Below are 17,742 nucleotides of genomic sequence, written 5' to 3'. Positions count from 1 at the left end.
CCAGGGATTCAGATACACAATTCCATAATTTAAGACATCCTATTAATTATATCAAAATCCATAGAAAGCCAAATTAACTTCCAGATTGCTTGGTAACTATGGAATTTCAGCAAAAGAACCTTTGGAAGGCCTGGTCAATTTCTTTTTAAAGAAGGCTCTCAATTTGCTTTTATTGTATACACACATACCATCTTGTGTATCTTCTTTATAGCACTTGATCTCAATTTATATTAAATAATTTAATGTATTTTTTCTAATACAAAGTAAGTGTTATGTAGAGATCTCTTCTTTTCTTGTATAAACATAATTCCAATTCTTATAACAGTACTGGACCTATAGTAAATGCTCAGATTGTTGAATAAATGAATTTCTATTCTACCAGAAAGAGGGTTATGCTAACCTCCCCTGATACCCAAAGTCAGGAGTGGAAACATGCTAATATCTGCATTTGTAGTGCCCTCTTATTTTTTAAAACTTATTGAAAACAATTTTTGTTTGTTGGACACTTTTTATTTATGAATATAATTCAATTAAATAAACTACAGCTTTTTGTGTATACAAGAACACATACCTTATTACATTTTGCTATCAATTTTCACTAGGCTGTACATGTTCCTATTTATATTATAGAGAAATACCATATCTTAAATATTTTTGCAGATAATCTCAGACATCAGGGTATATTTTATTAATTCAAACACCACAAGGTGACTGTATTTTTAAGTTATTGGATGTGGGATGGGGGAAGAAGAAAAGTGTCAACTTACCACTCACTGGTCTATACAGACTTCATTGACAGTGATAAAATATCTGATGCAAATTGGGAGCACTCCAAAAAAGCAGTGTTTCATGTTTTTTAAAAAAATTATTTCATGCATGTAAGTGTGAAAATGACTCTTAGAAAATTTAGGGGGACAGCAAGTCAGATGAGGAAAGCATATTCAGTGATATCTGCATATCTTGGCACAAGATAAAAACAAGCAATTATGGTGAACAGAAATTCTCTACTTTACCTCCTTTATTTCAGCCACTACCAAGTTTCACATTTAGAAAAATAGTATTGTATGAAAAATATTCATTTAGGTTTTCTAATATCTCAATAATATATGTGAAAATTCTTTTATAAAACATAGTGAGTTATGTTTTGAGTGTGCTTTGGCTGCAAGTGACAGAATATGCAAAATAAATAATGATTCTATTTATGTATCTCTCACGAGTAAAAATTCAGAGACTATTTCAAGGTTGCTGATGAGCCAGTTCAGCTCTGTCCAGAATCTGGGTCATCTCTGGGTTTCCCTTGTCTTTTCCTTCATAGGGGCAAGAAGGCTGCTTCATCTCCAGTTATTTTTCCTTGAGAACATGCAAAAATAGGAAAAGAGGGGCAAAGCTTTTACTTTGTATGTGTCTTGATCAGAGAAAAAAATCTTTCCTAGATGCCCACGGTATACTTCCCTCAGGTTCCATTAGTCAGCTCTAGGTTACATTGTCTTCTTTAGTTGGCTTATTTCAGAAGAGGGAAATAAAAGCACTTAAACAGAAATATGAACAAAGGTGTCATCTAATGATGACCTTTCTGGCCTATAACATTTTCCTTATGGCTCAGGAAAAAAAGGTTCAAGTGATGCTGCATTCATTATTGTATATAATGAGAGACATTTGGGAAAAAAGCTAGGGTTTCTTGAGTTAGATTTTGCTACTTCCCATGAAATGTTGGAAGCATCACTTCTAAGCTCATTTGAGACAGTGCTATGATCCGTAACAACAGCAATTATTACTATCATACATTTCATTAAATCTTTCTAATAAATTTCTTAGGGACACTTTTATTATTATGAAACATTTATTTTTTTTATTTGTTTGGTTTTTTTTGTTTGTTTTTGAGACAGAGTTTCGCTCTTGTTGCCCAGGCTGAAGTGCAATGGCACGATCTCAGCTCACTGCAGCCTCCGCCTCCCGGGTTCAGACGATTCTCCTGCCTCAGCCTCCCGAGTAGCTGGGATTATAGGCACGCGCCACCACGCTGGGCTAATTTTTGTATTTTTAGTAGAGACAGGGTTTCACCATGTTGGTCAGGCTGCTCTCAAACTCCTGACCTCGTGATCCGCCTACCTCTGCCTCCCAAAGTGCTGGGATTACAGGTTGTGAGCCAATAATAGTAAAGATTTAATTATTATTGAAATGTATTCAATTCTTAACATGATTGGTTATTGTTTAAACATTTTACATGTTTCATTTTACGTTTCAAATAATTATGAATTTATCACTGCTCTTAGGGACTTACTTTGTGTACGTTTTTGTATGACTCTGCAATGTGGGATCACTACTGCTTATATACTTTTTCCATTTTTGCTCTGTAATTAGTTCTAATGTACAATACAAATAGAGAACTAGAGAACATTTAGGTAAGAAATAATTAGTATTATGATAGAAAATTCTTATACATCAAAATACTTAAATAACCACTTTTTTTTTCCATAGGGAATTGTTGAAATGATTAAAAACTAAAATATTTGATCTTTGGGTGCATCCTTTTCTTACACTTACATATAAAAAAAGTTTCTTTAGTCCTGTAAAAGTAATTCAGGTTAAAAATTACGGTTTTAGAATATCCATCTTTTCTTTTATAAACTAAGATGGAGTAGCATATGATTCTGTCTGAAGTTTCTGTAGCTTATTTCATTGTCTCCCTGGGACTTAACAAGCACGTCTTATGAATGAGCATTAGATACAAGCATTTTTATCTGTCATTTGAATAAATTTATATCTCTACCTGTTGTCTAGAAATATGAAAAATGTTTGCCTTCTTCGGTGTGAATATTAAATGTCTCCACTGCAGTGATTATAGCTGTGTTTCTTCCTTATAAAATAATGTTGTCAACATTATTCTCTTACTCCAAAAAAAAGTACACATTTCTGTGAACAAAAAAGCCTGAGTTTAGCGGTTTAAATAAAATGGAGTTCTTTCTATAACATGTGTAGAATTTCGGGTCACTTCCACCACTAATGTGTTCATCTGAATAGTAATTGCCACAAAATTGTAGTTTCAAGTTTCTACAAGCAAATACCTAACTTTTTATACACTTAAATTTGATACCATAATTTTTACAAATTTGAGTAAAAGTTCCCATTCATGCCACTATTACATACTTTGAGCAACCTTTTTCATAACTCTTTATTGGTGAATTTATAGTTGCCAATCAAAAAAAAATAAATTGCTGATTTTATTCAACTGGGCCAGGACTTAGTTCCTAACAAATACCTGTGGCCATAGTTCATACAGATGACATTTAATTTCCCAGGGGACTTCAAGAAGTGATGAAAAACAAACTACAAATGTATCCTCCCTTTCCCTCTGCACTGACCTAGGGCTCGTTTGCCGACCAGGCTCCCTGTGCCCTGCCAACATTCTGTCTGCTGCAGCTACTCTGGGAGTGCTTTTCTCTCCCTGAACTGCAGCTTTCAGACGCTCCTCATTCACTGGTGAATCAGGTCCCACCAGGGCCCTTCCATTTGACTTGTGGTGTATTTTTTAAAGTAATACCTCACTACGTTTAGGAATAAATGAGTAACCCTATAACCCATGTTTAGTGTAATGTTTCTTGGCAATGAAAAAGTGAATAAAACTGAATTGATTCTATGACATAAATGTACCCACTTTAAACACTTACTCTGCAGTATTACTATAAGTCAACCTTTCCCATTAACCAGCATAGTTAAGCAAGTCCAAATTCCGGCTATGCCATAGAATTATGAGACTGTTTTAGTATTAAAATAAAGTTACTGAATAACATAGTTAAAAACTATGTTCTCCATGAGAAAATTATTTTAAAACCAGATTTGAAATGACACATAAAATATTTTAATAACAGGACAAAAGTGAAAACAACTAATAAAAAAGATAGGATTTCTGAAACATCCTTAGTAATTAAATATTTAATTTCATTTTAACTAAGCTACTTAAAATATTATGATTTTGTTTTTATTTGAAAAGCAAAGATCAAAAGAGATTTATTTTCTCCTCTGTTGAGCATGTTATCCATACAATATAGGTCAAATCGCTTAGTTAACGATGCTTGAAAATGGGTTCAGTATCTAGTAGAAGTCTTTCTGTTTTCTACATAATAAATTATCTTCCTGTGCCACCTAAATCCCCACTAAATACATGAAAAATAATAAAACAAATGCACCTGTAAAATAAAAATATGACCTCTCAGAGTAGTTTCACTAAGTCAAAACTTTTTTGTTGCTTATGACTTTTGAGTCTTCCACAGTAAGACAAATGAGATAATTTCATCGCCCTCTGTATGTTGCATCTTTGTTAGAAATGAGTTTCATGTCTAATTAGGTTACTTTTTATTCTTTTCGGAAAATGCACTGGTACTTTACTGTTTCGTTTGTTTGTTTTGTTTTATGTTTACTTCGTTAATGTTACTAAGCCGATGAAAGCCAAAATAAAAGACATGTAAGGCAGGAAGAAAAATTCCAAGGAAAATATATTGCTGGAAATTAAATTACCCATTTGAAAGTTAAAAACTTGAAGAACTGAATATTAACTAAATTTCATAGCAACAAGAAGGATTTTGCTTGAACAAAGTCTCTGATAGTTCACATTACTCAGGATACGTAAAAGAAGCAAAATTACAGTTCGTATGAAAATTCCAGGTAAATGGGAGCCAATTTCTTCGTCTTTACCTGGCTATCTGGTAGCCAAGCACTTTGAGCATTAAATAGAAACTTGTAGATTTACAATTACATTCATTGGCATAGGGTTTACTACGTTAATTCAAATAATAATTACATGAATAACTTTTGTGAGGTTTACAGAACCTTTGTTACTTTCCTTGGAGTCACAAAATCTGTCCAGGAATACGATAAATTTGACTTTGCTGTGACCATTTCACAATAGGTTAAATGTCGAGTTACCATATTCTTAAAGTCCAAAGCTATGTTTTCACTGACAAATTTGAGTTTGAATTATTTGGATCATTTTCTAATGTGAATCATAAAAGTAGATAGCATAAATGCTTAAATGTGCTTTTTTGCATTTCTACAACCTAAAACCAGTTTGGTTGAAAAAAATAAAATTTAACAGCCTTCAATTTGTCATGTGGAATCTGATACCATGTGCATTTTATTACCTCCATATATTTATCTAAGTGAAACATAAAATGGTTGTAATAATGGAGAATTTAAAGTAGCTTTTGCACATGAGCAGTAATGCTAACTAATATGGTGAATAAGGGCTGAATGTAAATTCTCAGAATTTCTGTTTCTTGTGATATGTTTGCTAAAGTGAGCATATCTTGGATAACTGATAGAAACACACATAATGCTAATTACGCTGTGAGGAACTTTGATGGACATAATGGAAATACAGGGAATAATCATTTCTATACAAGCCAAAACCTCGTATATATATTTTTTAAATTTTCAAACTATGATACAGTGTACATTAGATCACAGAACCTGCCAAAATATAAACCCATATCTCTTTTTAGGCTGGATTTAGACTCTGGTATTCTCGTCTATGCATTCAGAGATAATCTAGGTATGGCATAAATCAGTAAAATCAAATATCACCAGTTCCTATTGATTCTACCTCATTTATAGCTCTTGAATTGAGCCCCTCTTTTCCATTTCTGTTGCCATTTGGTTAGGCCTTCAATTATATTTTATATGAATTATTGCAATAACTACAGTTCTCTTAATGACACCAGCATTTCAACACTCCAGCCCATTTTTATGTTTCTGCCAGATTTGTTTGCCCATAAAACAAAGTTCACGATGTCACCCCTCTGCTAATAAACTTCTGTCAGCTTCTTCTTAATCATAAGATCAAGTCTAAAACCATTAACTTTGTTTACATGTTCTGAAACAGACCCTACCACACTTGTTAGTCGGTATTTAGCCTACTCTAAAATCATACAGCACTCCCAAAGGTGCACAGAACTTGTCTCTTCTTCCTTCTCTGCTTGCCTTCTACTACTTATCCATTCACATGCTACCTTTTATTCTAAAGCTTGCAGGACTCTTGAGATAAAATTAGCTGAATCATTGAAGTATGTTCCTACAATACTTGGCTCATATTTCATTTAGAAACTCAATTTATTATTTTTCATAATAGACCAGTGTTTTTATGTTCAGCTTCATTGAGGTACAAATCACATGAAAATTATATATATTCAAGATTTTTTTTACTTTTTTTAATTTTAGTCATTCTGTTAAGTGTGGGGTGATATCTCATTGTGGTTTTAACTTGTATTTCTCTAAACGCTAATGTCGTTGAGCATCTTTACATTTTTTTTTCCATCTGTATATCTATTTTGGTGAAATGTCTGTTTATGTCTTTTCTTGCTTTCTAATTAAATTGTTTGGGTTGCTTTTACTGCCGAATCATCAGAGTTCTTTATATATTCTAAATACTAGTCCTTTGCTATGATGCATTCATACCATGTACTACTACTCAGTGATAAAAGGAAGAAACTGTTGATATGTGAAACAACCTGGATGAATCTAAGTGAGAAATTCAAATGCCAAAATTTGCTTATTATATGAGTCCATTTGTATCCATTCTTGAAATAACAAAATTATAGAACTAGAGAACAGATTAGTGGTTGTCGAAGGAAAGGAGGGAGTGGGGGCAGGTAGAAGTGGGGGTGGTTATAAAAGAGCAACATGAGGGAACCTTGTGGTGACGGGACTGTTCTGCATCTTAACTGTATCAATGTCAGCATTGTGGTTGTCCTGTTGTACTACAGTTTGCAAGATATTTTCATTGGGGGAAACTGTAATGGGCACATTGGACTCCTCTGTGTTACTTTTTACAACTGCATGTGAATCTAAATTTATCGCAAAATAATGTCTATTTATTATTCCCCAGCTTTATTAAGGTATAATTTACAAATTTTTAAAAATTATACATATATTCAAGATGTGCAACATTATGTTTTCATATATTGTGAAATAATTATCACAATGAAGCTAATTACATATCCATGACTTCACATAGAAACTTACAATCTACTACTCTAGTTAATTTCAAATATATAATACATTATTTTCCCCCTTGCTACCATACATTATTATTAACTATAGCCACCATACTGTACATTAGGTCTCCAAAACTTACTTATCTTATAACTGTAAGTTTGCATCCTTTGACCAACATTTCCTTATTTCCCCCAATTCTTGACCCCTGATAACCACAGTTGTACTCTTTGCTTCTATGTATTTGACTTTTTTTGATTCTGCATATAAGTGAGATCATGCAAGATTTGTCTTTCTGTTCTGGCTTCCTTCACTTAGCATAAGGTCCAACAATACCTCTTTGAGGTATTGATTTCATTTCTTTGGGGTATATATACAGAAGAGAGATTGCTGGATCACATGGTTGTTCTATTTTTTAATTTTTTGAGGAAACTTAGTACTGTTTTCCATAACGGCTGTACAAATTTATTTTCTCACTAACAGTATACAAATGTTCCCTTTTGTCCACACCCTTGCCAGTGCTTGTTATCTGAGGTATTTTGAAAATAGCCATCCTAACAAAAAGGAGGTGATATCTAATTGTGGTTTTGAGACAGTGTAGGGAAGAGACTCAGTCCTGGCAGATAAGGGCCATAATAACCAAGATCCCAGTGGGCCTCACATGTCCAGGCATACTCCCTCCATTACCTTCCTGCCTCCCTTAACAAACTGATATGCCCATAAGTTTATAACATTCTGAGCTTCTTGGGGACAAAGGTAATTGCATTTATATTTGTGTCTATAGTACTTAACAGAGAGAGTGTTCTCATTAAACTTTTGTTGAATGAATGAATCAATCCTGGAAGGTCTGGAGAAAAGAATAACACAAAAATGTTATTAGAAAGTTGCTGAATATAGAAAGACTATTCCAATAGTCATAAAATATTCATTAAGAATGTCTTCAGACCTCTTTGTATAAACCAATATTTTTCTCTCCATCTGTAGAATGATATGTTTTTCATCAGAATGATAAATCTCAATAGCAAAATATTTTAATTTTACATGACTTCAGTGTGTAAATTTATAAAAGCCTAACCATTCTATAAAATAGACATTTACATTAATTTAATATAGACACATCTGTAGATACAGGCCCACAAATCTTGTCATTAAATGTTTACCTCTAACCTACTTCACTATCATCTGTTTATATCTGCTCACATATATGAAATCAGGCCATAAACTAAGTCAAATATTCTCTGGAAAAGAATAAAGATTCATGGTGCTAGAATCCTATGAAACTTATACTGACCTTCAGATTACTGGCCTGAATATGACTGATTCATGAAGGGATTGTGAATTTTTTAAGCAAATAAAACCTTGTGAGAGCCTAAACATTATTGACTATGTTTAGATAGATAATATAACATTGCTTTGTATTTTATAATTTTATATCAGAGAACTCTGCATAATAATAAGCACTCTATTGGATTTAACATAGCATAATAATAAGCACTCTATTAGGTTTAATGTCATTTTCCAAACCAATAATAGGCTTGAATTAAGTAGTAAGGCCTTTGCCAAATGTCTTTTTAATTGTCAAAATGTTTTACATTCTAATGTAAGAAGCAGATATCAATATTTATAAGTCAAACAGAATACTTTAATTTGATATGAGAGACATACTCGAATACCATAACAAAAACTTCTTTGTTTCATTTCTATGTGTGAAAATGTCTGTCACTTACATGTATTGTCTTCTAATTGAGGGCATGATCACTATTAGAATTATGCATAATCAAATACTGCATTTTTTTCACAAGAATAAAATTTCAAATCCAATACTAGATAATATAAAAATCTATTTGACCTTTGTAAAGTTACATTAAGTGATAATAAATTTAATTACCTGGTACAAAAAGCCAAAAATATCAAGTCATAGAAGAAAATAAATTTTGAGTCTTTTACTTTAAGATTAAATACTGAAATTATTTTAATTATATTTCTTTGCAACTTTTATTGATATAATATTGTTATTACTTTCTTAGTTATTTTATTCTATATTATTAGTTAATTCTTGAAAGAACTAAAAAACTTTATGCTGTATCATAATTTCCCACTATTGTACATTCTTCACTTTTTGCCTAAGAACAAGCTAAGAATCATGAGCATTAAAACCGTTTTTTAAAATGTGATGAACCCACAAAAAACTAAAGGTGTACTTGAGTCTGCTAGATCAACACATTCTTATAATTCCCTCAAGGCCATCATACAGTTTGGCACCCACATTTAAGCTTTGAAAATTATATGACCATCTATTACATTTTAGATGTCACATGTCCTCAGACCTTTTCTATTATAACACAAGACAGAGTTAGACCATTTTTTAAAAGATCCCTCTGTTATTGATAATTGCCTAAGGTGCTTCTTCCTTTTCTTTTTCAGAATGAAGAACAAATTTTGGTATTTTGAGTTTGGCACATCTGAAACTTTCTCAGCCACCTGCAAGAAGCTACATGAATCTGTAGAAATAGAAGTAAGAAAAAAATGAATTCTCTTTTGTAATATGATGAAATGGCTTGAGCTTTGTTGTTAGTATATTTGCATTGGAGCCCATGGAATGAAATATATATTAGCAATCCACAGAGACTTACTCAAGATTTTAAATTGTCATTCCTTTCACTCATTTGGAATACAGCACTATCTGACATACTAAAGTTAAGTGTAGATATGGGTTATTTTATTATAGTATAAAAGAATGAGAAGTGGAACACAACTTTGGAAATTGATGCAGTTGTTACTGGGCATAGTGCAGATAGAAAGGTAAGATAAAAGTAGTTGGGAAGAAAAAAGTTGCAGAATACATAAAAAATATTATTTTCGGGTCTCAATATCTTGTAACCTTTAAAACACACTTTGCTAAAATTGTACTTACTTTTATGAATAAAGGTTAAAAAGTATACTTTTCCATTCCATTCCCATTCATTAACTAGGTTTTCTCAGTTCCCAAGGTTGCCATTTCCCCATTACATTTATAGAAAGTGGAAATGCCAAGAAAGAGAGCAAAGATAGCAAGAAAAGACACATTTTAAAAAGACTTGGAGCAAATAGGTCTGTAAAAAAAAAAGACACTGTAGGACTCAAAATTTTGGAGAAATATTATAAAAGAAAATGACTTCGTTATATTGAGAGATTTTTAGGGGTTAAAGAAAAAAGAAAAGTTATATTTTGACAAATGATAAAGACAAAACCAGAGGAACAGAATTATGAAACATGAACACTTAATGACTAGTTGATATGAATTAAGAAACATTGGCTTCAACACTTTTCATTTTAAAAATAAATGCAAAAATTTGCTACTGATACCTAAATCATTAGTTCCTTATATTCAGGTAATAAGTTTGGTAAACAGAAGTAGTTATGGACCACACAATGGCCTGGCTAAGTTCTTCATTATCCTAAATTTCTAATTTGCTGTTATTAATAATACCAAAAAATGATACTACTCTCAGTGTAACCTTTTAGCACTTTTATCTCATCATGATTGGTAAATATAATTAAGTATTAGAATTGATGGTCATGGAATGGGAAAAAACCCTTCATAACAGGATCAGATCATAACCTTTGAAAGGAACATAATTACAGAGGTGAAGGATTTGGGTTCAACGTGGACTTTCTGTTATTACTATTTAGGATGATATATCTGTGTATATGTATGATATATGCACACAAATAACTGTATATAAAATGATATATATAACACATATATAACTATATGCATGTATATCTATATAATAATTGTATATGTACTACAGTTATATATTTAGTTATATATTATTGTATATAATAATATATGACATCTGTAACTACATTTAGTTATATATTTAGTTATATATATTATATATAATAATATATGACATATATAACTACATATATAGTTAAATATATAGTATATATGGTTATATATGTGTCATATGTATTGTTATATACATATACATATTTATGTGCATATATATTCAATAAAACATATACATACCCCTTTACTCTTAGAATCATTATTTTTTTAAAAAAACTGCTTTATATACTAGATTTTGAATATTTCTTATCCTCAAAAATTATGCTCAAATACAATTTGCAGCAGAAGCTGAAAAGTTTTAGAAAAATTAGAAGTATGGCTTTGGTTGAATGTAGGTGGAGATCCTGAATCCTCCTGCACCTCCCTTTACTTTATCCTACCCTTGAGCACAGATTTAAAAGCTGTTGATCTATAAAATAAGATTCTATGTGTCACAAAGTACAAAAAAAAAATCTTTAAGAAAAGTGTTGTGTTTACAGCAAAAGATTTTGAATGAAAATATATTTGAAAACGGTGATTTGTAATATGCTAAATAATGATAAAATTAAGTGGTTTTGATCCACAGAGCTTGAGATCTGACAGAAAAACTATTTAGAATGTTCTCCAAGAAATCTGGGCTACTAGAACTAAGTTATGTTTCTTGGAGTGCTGTTTCTGCTTACTCTCTCAGCCTGACCTTCTAGCTCTGCATCCCTGGCTTATTTTGGGAGCTATTAAAATAATATTTATAAATCACAGCCAGCACTGTGTGCATGCCCCCTTGTATTTTTGCATATCTTGTTGTGTGTGTGTGTGTGTGTGTGTGTGTGTGTGTGTGTGTGTGGATAGCTAGGCAAAATCTGCTTCTCTGCTCACTTTTTAATGAATCCTGTCTATCATATTAGCAGAATATGCCTTTCTACCCTCAAGGTTATTTTATAATTAAATATAACAAAAACAGAAATTCGAAAATTTGATTCTGTTTGTTGTTGCTTCCTATTTGTCCTAAAATTATACCTACTATGGTTTGAAAAATATATAACAGAATAAACTACTTCAGTAAAAACAGAACCTCCAGCAATAGATACATGTTTTATTGGCAGCTTTTTCAAAATCAAACTATCTTTTGTGTGTCTTTTTATTTAATATTTCTCTTTCACATAGTGAGCACCTTCAAAAGAGGGCAAATATTTGGGTTGATATGAATATCATGGAATAATAGTTAAGATTTACCTATTATTAACTGTCTCACAGGTGATGCTAAACAATGCACATATATTATTTGATTTAGTCTTTATCAAAACCTTATGATACTGTTATATCTCCATTGCAGAGATAAACATTTTCTTCAGTAATTTAAGAGAAATAAGAATTATGTTGCTGCCACAATGTTTAAATCTAATGAGCAAATTGATTGAAAAATATATGTATTTACACATACATGTAAAGATTTAATGATACACGAAGTAGAATTTTTTAAAGATATTCATTTATCTTCTAACTTTATTACAAAAGATAAAAATAAATTCTTTAAAATTACAAGAAAATATTTTAAAACCAATGTTTATATTAAAGTATTTGGAGGGGTGAAATGTGTGCCTAAGAAACTCAGGTCAGCATTTGGAATTGAAGATACAGAGTTCATGAATGTTCAGTTTGCTCAGAGTACCAGGCAAAGTTAATGAGAGAATAAGAAAGCCTATTCTATAGATATTTCAGTCTTTTGGTTGACAGGGATACTGGGAAAGATGGTAAATTTTAAAGCCAAGAATTTCCATCCCAAAGTACTGATTTATTGTAATGATTAAATACCCCTAGAAACCTAAATGATCTCAAGAATTAATGAATGGCATGACTAGCATCAAAAACACAAAATAAATTAGCAGGATTCAAAAGACAATATTCTTATTGCTCAGTAACCTGGAAAACAGAGTTCTTAGAGGCAATAGCCAGAGTTCCCAAGCATAGTCTCTGCCCCATGTGTCCTAATACTGAAATTACCTATAAAGTAATGTTTTACGTTTCATTGAGTAAAAATAGAAATAATTCTTATCTGATATAGACATAGAATCAGACCTACTATGGAAAAAAATTACAGTTTATCATTAATTGTATCTCATCACATTTACCATCCACACTTAGAGCTCTCCAAAGTTCTTCACATGTTTTGAATAGTCCTATCAACTGACATGTTAAGTGGATCTGAAACACTAAAGTCACATATAAAGCTTGTTTTTAACACCTCTGTACGGTGTGACCCAGGACTCATTTATTTATGAAGGTTAAAACACATTGGCAGAAAAATTGAAACCGTCTTCTTTTCTTTTAATTATATTTGTCTCTGGAATAAGATCCTCTATTTTAAAACTGAAAAGAGCAGACAATGGCATCACAGCCTTGCACTCTATAAATAGCTCCCATAGTACTATATGTTAACGACCTTTTTTCTACCTAATAAAAATATTCAGGATTTATTGACTAACTGAGGCTGTTAGCTTTTAAGCTTTTATATTCTTTTCCTCTGTAGCTACCTTTTTAAAAGTCATAAATCTCAAAGGGAATGAAAATATTATCTGACACAGTACTATAACTTGTTTATATTTCATAGCCTTCACCTCAGCTTTTACTTTCATGCACTCAACTGGTGTGCTACAATTACTGGTCTCCATCAGAACCAGCACTGAAATTTTCCAGACTAATGAACATAACGTTAAAGCAAACAGAGGAAGGTAGCCTAGGGTCAAGAACAAGTGGAAACAAATCATTAATAAATAGCAATTTATTTAAGTACATTGTCCTGCTCTCAAAGGAACATCAATGTTCTTCATCAGTCCTTGTTCTTTGCGACTGTTTGAGAATTTTTTTTCACTTCTCAGAGAGCTACTTACTCTGTTTCCCTAAAACTACACATGACAAAACTCTGAAGAGTGAAAACATGAATAATAGCATACACTCATGTTTTTCAATTGTCACATGTAACTCAGCTGGTTCAATTCTTTTTTTTAAAAAAAAAAGAAGCCTCTTTGCAACATGCTCTCCTTTTCTGCAGATGAACAAAGGAATCCTCCTTCACTAATTCTGAAAGTAACTTGTCACAGTGGGGTTCTAAGGCCTAGTCAAATAATTGTCTTAGTGTACTACCTGCTGTGTTCAATATTGAGTGAAAATGGAAGCCAGGCCCTGACTCCAGCTTATTTCATGATTCTTCTGTTATTTAAATGATTTTAGTCAGTTTGGGGGAAGCCAGACCTTTATAAATTAACAGCAGGGAAATACCAAAGGTGTCAGATTGCATATTTATCATCTTTTTCGTGTAATACTTAAATATGTATTAAGAAGTGACTGACATAAATTAGGCAGATTTCAGAAGCCACAGGCCGTGGCTTGTAGAGGACCCCCTTCTGCTTGACATTTCATCCTTGTCAAAGATCAAATTATTTTAATTTAGGCTGCAAATTATAAGGAATGAAGACTTCTTTGTGGGAATTCCCTGTGGTAATCTGACTTTTGTTGTTACTGCTGCTTGTCAGTGTGCAAAAGATATAATATGCATGCAAATAAGGTTAAAAAATATGTACTATCTAATTATCCAGCCAGTACATTCCACTTGAAGACAGTGGGAGGCCTGACACACAGTATGTGTTTGATTCATTGAGGCCTGCAGGGTATTTACACAAGATTACTTTTAATTATGAAATTAATATCTGTTTATCTAGAATATATAGCGGTAAGTGAGTATACACATGACCAGAATTCTTTAGTAAAAAGAAATCATCTTAATTTAGTACCAGAAAAGGAGGAAAAAAGCACTGCTTTCTGGAAAAAAAAAAAAAAAAAAAAAAGCATCATCCAGATCTTGGTTTCGCCCTCATTGAAACAAATTAAATGAAAACTTGGCACTTTCTCTAGAATTTGTTTCTACCCCTGCCAAGTAGTCTCAAGATGTGTTTCTTTATTTCACAGTTTTTATTTTTCAGTGAACAAGATGCAATCCTAGCTTCAGTATGATGAGGCGAATGTGGAAAAAGAGAGGGCTTTTTTTTGTTTTGTTTTGTTTGTTTTTCATCATTTTCATGGAACACTGTGTCTTCTGAGTTCAAAAATCATGACTGCCATGAGAAATGATGAAGTTAGTGTCAATAATTTTTTCTGTACTAAGACATGGCAAATGAAACAACGCCACTGTAAATATATTTCAATTTAGGAAATGCATATCCCTCACAAAGTTCTTTTAAAAACAAAGCGCTTATATCTCTTTTCATATTCACTTATAATTGAAAATGGGATAATAATTTCTAGAATGTATAATAATAACTAGCATTTTAAAGAAGTCAAGGCAAATGAATAAATAAATAGTAATTTTAAAAATACAGAATAGTCTTGTCACTGTCCACATATGTCCAGTAGTGGAAATGAATGGAAAATTCAAAAAACTAAGAAGTGACCACTCTGAATATAACAAAACATTGTTTGTTAGTGAATTTTATATTTTTCATAATCACCAGGGTGTTTTGTCACCAGGAAAATAAGAAAAATTGGGCTGATTAACCTTGGTTTTTTTTTAACCATTTTTGCAGCAGCTATAAAGTCATGCTGGATTGAAGGTCTTTTGACTGCTACTATTTCCCTCAATCAATCTACCCGGCCCTCCATATTCATTTGGACAACTGTGCCTCTCATGGCCTTTGACATCTCCTTAGGACTTCATCTAGTCCAAGAAACCACCCTTGGTAAATTCAGTGTGATTGAAATCTCTTAGAATCTCTGCTTTGAATTTTACTTTTTTTTTTTTTAGCAAAAGTCTTTTAAGCTACTTCTTTCTCTGCCCCAAAGGTGTGAGACCATGAGGCATCAATCTGCTTTCTGTACTTTCCCCCAATAGTACCTTGCAGTGTGTTCTAAACAGGGGCAATCATCACAATTTCTTCCTAAAATTTGACCATAGTTTCCAGAATTAACCTTTTTGTAACACATTGGAAATTTGCAGCTGGTTAAATATATATGCAGATGCTAACGAGTCTCTCCCAAAGGTTTTCTACAAACAAAGATATACTGGTGATTTAATTTGATCATTTTTAAGGACTTCTAGAGATAACTGGTTAATGTTAGGGGCTGCTTTATCTTTTATATTGACTCAGGGTAAGTGTTTAAGTGTTCTTGAAAGGCTTGTTTGGAAATGACAACATTATGGATTTCAACGCACTTATTAAAAGATGAGGAAATGAAAAACAAGAAATCAGGGAAATAAAGATAAAATATTCCGTTTCTGTTTCTTTCTTTTTACCGATCAGTGTGATGGAGTACAGATAGATTTAATAAACATCTCTCTGGAAGGAATTGCTATTTTGAATATACCAAGCATGCATGGAGGATCCAATCTTTGGGGAGAGTCTAAGAAAAGACGAAGCCATCGACGAATAGAGAAAAAAGGGTCTGACAAAAGGACCACCGTCACAGATGCCAAAGAGTTGAAGTTTGCAAGTCAAGGTCAGTTTTCTAACAATTAGTTGTTAAATTGCTTGTTAACCTGTTTTCAAAGGCTTCTTTAAAAGTAAAGAGTCTTCCGTTGCACTATAATAATTTATATATTTTTACAGTTGTATTTTTCATATTATGGGATACCCATGTGTGATTAACTTATATCACAATAGATTCTAACTCAAGTATAAATTGGCTACATTTTTCGTTATTCTTCTTCGTATATAGCTCTTCCCACAGAAAATAAAATACATTTGGGGTATTTCATGGATAATAAAATAGAAGATATTGTATATTAAGCTCTTCTGAAACGTGATTGTCTTAAATAGGACATTTGAGTTGCTGGAATAAGGACGTAGTTAAGGCTTTTCTAAGGTTGTGTTATAAGAGATTTTGTTCTTTTTCTGCTTTGGTCAGGCTATGAGATTGAAGCTATTTTACAGAGCTGTTGTTCTAAGTACCATATATAACAGAATGTTTAAATATCCCATGATAAATTTTGGTTGTCTGCTGAATTTTTCCAGAAAGTTAGTAACAACAAGTAGGAGACCTGGGAAACAGAAAGCAAAGACCTAAAAAAAGTAGACTAGACTAACTATGGGTCAGAATTTTCAACTCTATTGTAATATAGTTCTCATTGGGACATGATACCTAATTCTTAGAGATTTTATAAACTAGAGATATCAATGTGATATTCTGATAACTAATCATGTCCCAATAGTTTATGTATGTAATTCTATAATATCATTTTTACCTTCTAGAATTTACCTAATACTACTGATGACATTGAGAAATCAAAACATGTTGTCTCAGCTCAGTGTAGCAAGGACAAAATATGAAGAGATTTCAGTGTTAATGGACTAATATAAATAAATTACTAAAAAATGAAATAGAATAAAGTGAGAAGATGGTTGGTGGGCTTTATGGTGGTGGGCAATAGCTTTATGTTTTGGTGTCTTTGAGTACCTGGTTCAAGTTTCAGTAACAAGCAGTGACTTCTTTTATATAAAATTTGGTACCATGAAAGTGGAAAAGATTGATGGAGAAAGTGTTAGGTATTCTCTTGAAAGAAATGCTTATCACAACCTGCCAATGACAGGTGGTTTTGATGCCCTTAAAATGTGTAAGTAATCTTGGAGAATTGTATTAGTACAAGCATGTTTATAACAAATCAATTAAAAAATTACATACTCAAAATATAACTGTATGAAAATATGGAGGAAAATAATATTTTGAAGGAGAAATATATAGAAAAAATGAGGTTCGTGCTATATGAATTAGAGGAGGAAAATAAATATAATTATTAGTTTCTAGAAGTTATTGAAATTAATTTATATTTGTATTTAAATATTCATTTAAATGTAAAATTAGTAGATTTCTAAAAAGGGTAGTGAAAAATTCTAAGTATTGCAATTAGCTTAAGGACCATACTAAAACCAAGCTTAAAAAACCCTTTTGTAATT

The 17,742-nt window shown here is 31.9% G+C and overlaps 1 protein-coding gene across 22 annotated transcripts in view, besides 1 other annotated feature; it reads left to right on the top strand.

The window, feature by feature from the left end:
- Nucleotides 1-17,742, top strand: part of DGKB (diacylglycerol kinase beta) — an 829,810-nt gene that overhangs the window by 620,056 nt on the left and 192,012 nt on the right. For all 22 annotated transcript variants that reach the window (NM_001350722.2, NM_001350711.2, NM_001350717.2 and 19 more), the window contains 2 exons: nucleotides 9,412-9,502; nucleotides 16,093-16,288. In NM_001350722.2, the coding sequence (NP_001337651.1) occupies nucleotides 9,412-9,502; nucleotides 16,093-16,288 (287 nt within the window). The remainder of the gene's footprint in view (nucleotides 1-9,411; nucleotides 9,503-16,092; nucleotides 16,289-17,742) is intronic.
- Nucleotides 13,688-14,801: an enhancer, noted in NCBI's record as "VISTA enhancer hs816". NCBI's record gives its function as "enhancer in: hindbrain (rhombencephalon)[9/10]" and the evidence as "EXISTENCE:transgenic organism evidence [ECO:0001131][PMID:17130149]".

This window comes from Homo sapiens, chromosome 7 (assembly GCF_000001405.40).
Source record: "Homo sapiens chromosome 7, GRCh38.p14 Primary Assembly".
In the NCBI taxonomy this organism is placed as follows: domain Eukaryota; kingdom Metazoa; phylum Chordata; class Mammalia; order Primates; family Hominidae; genus Homo; species Homo sapiens.
This window is presented reverse-complemented; position numbering and strand designations above follow the sequence as displayed.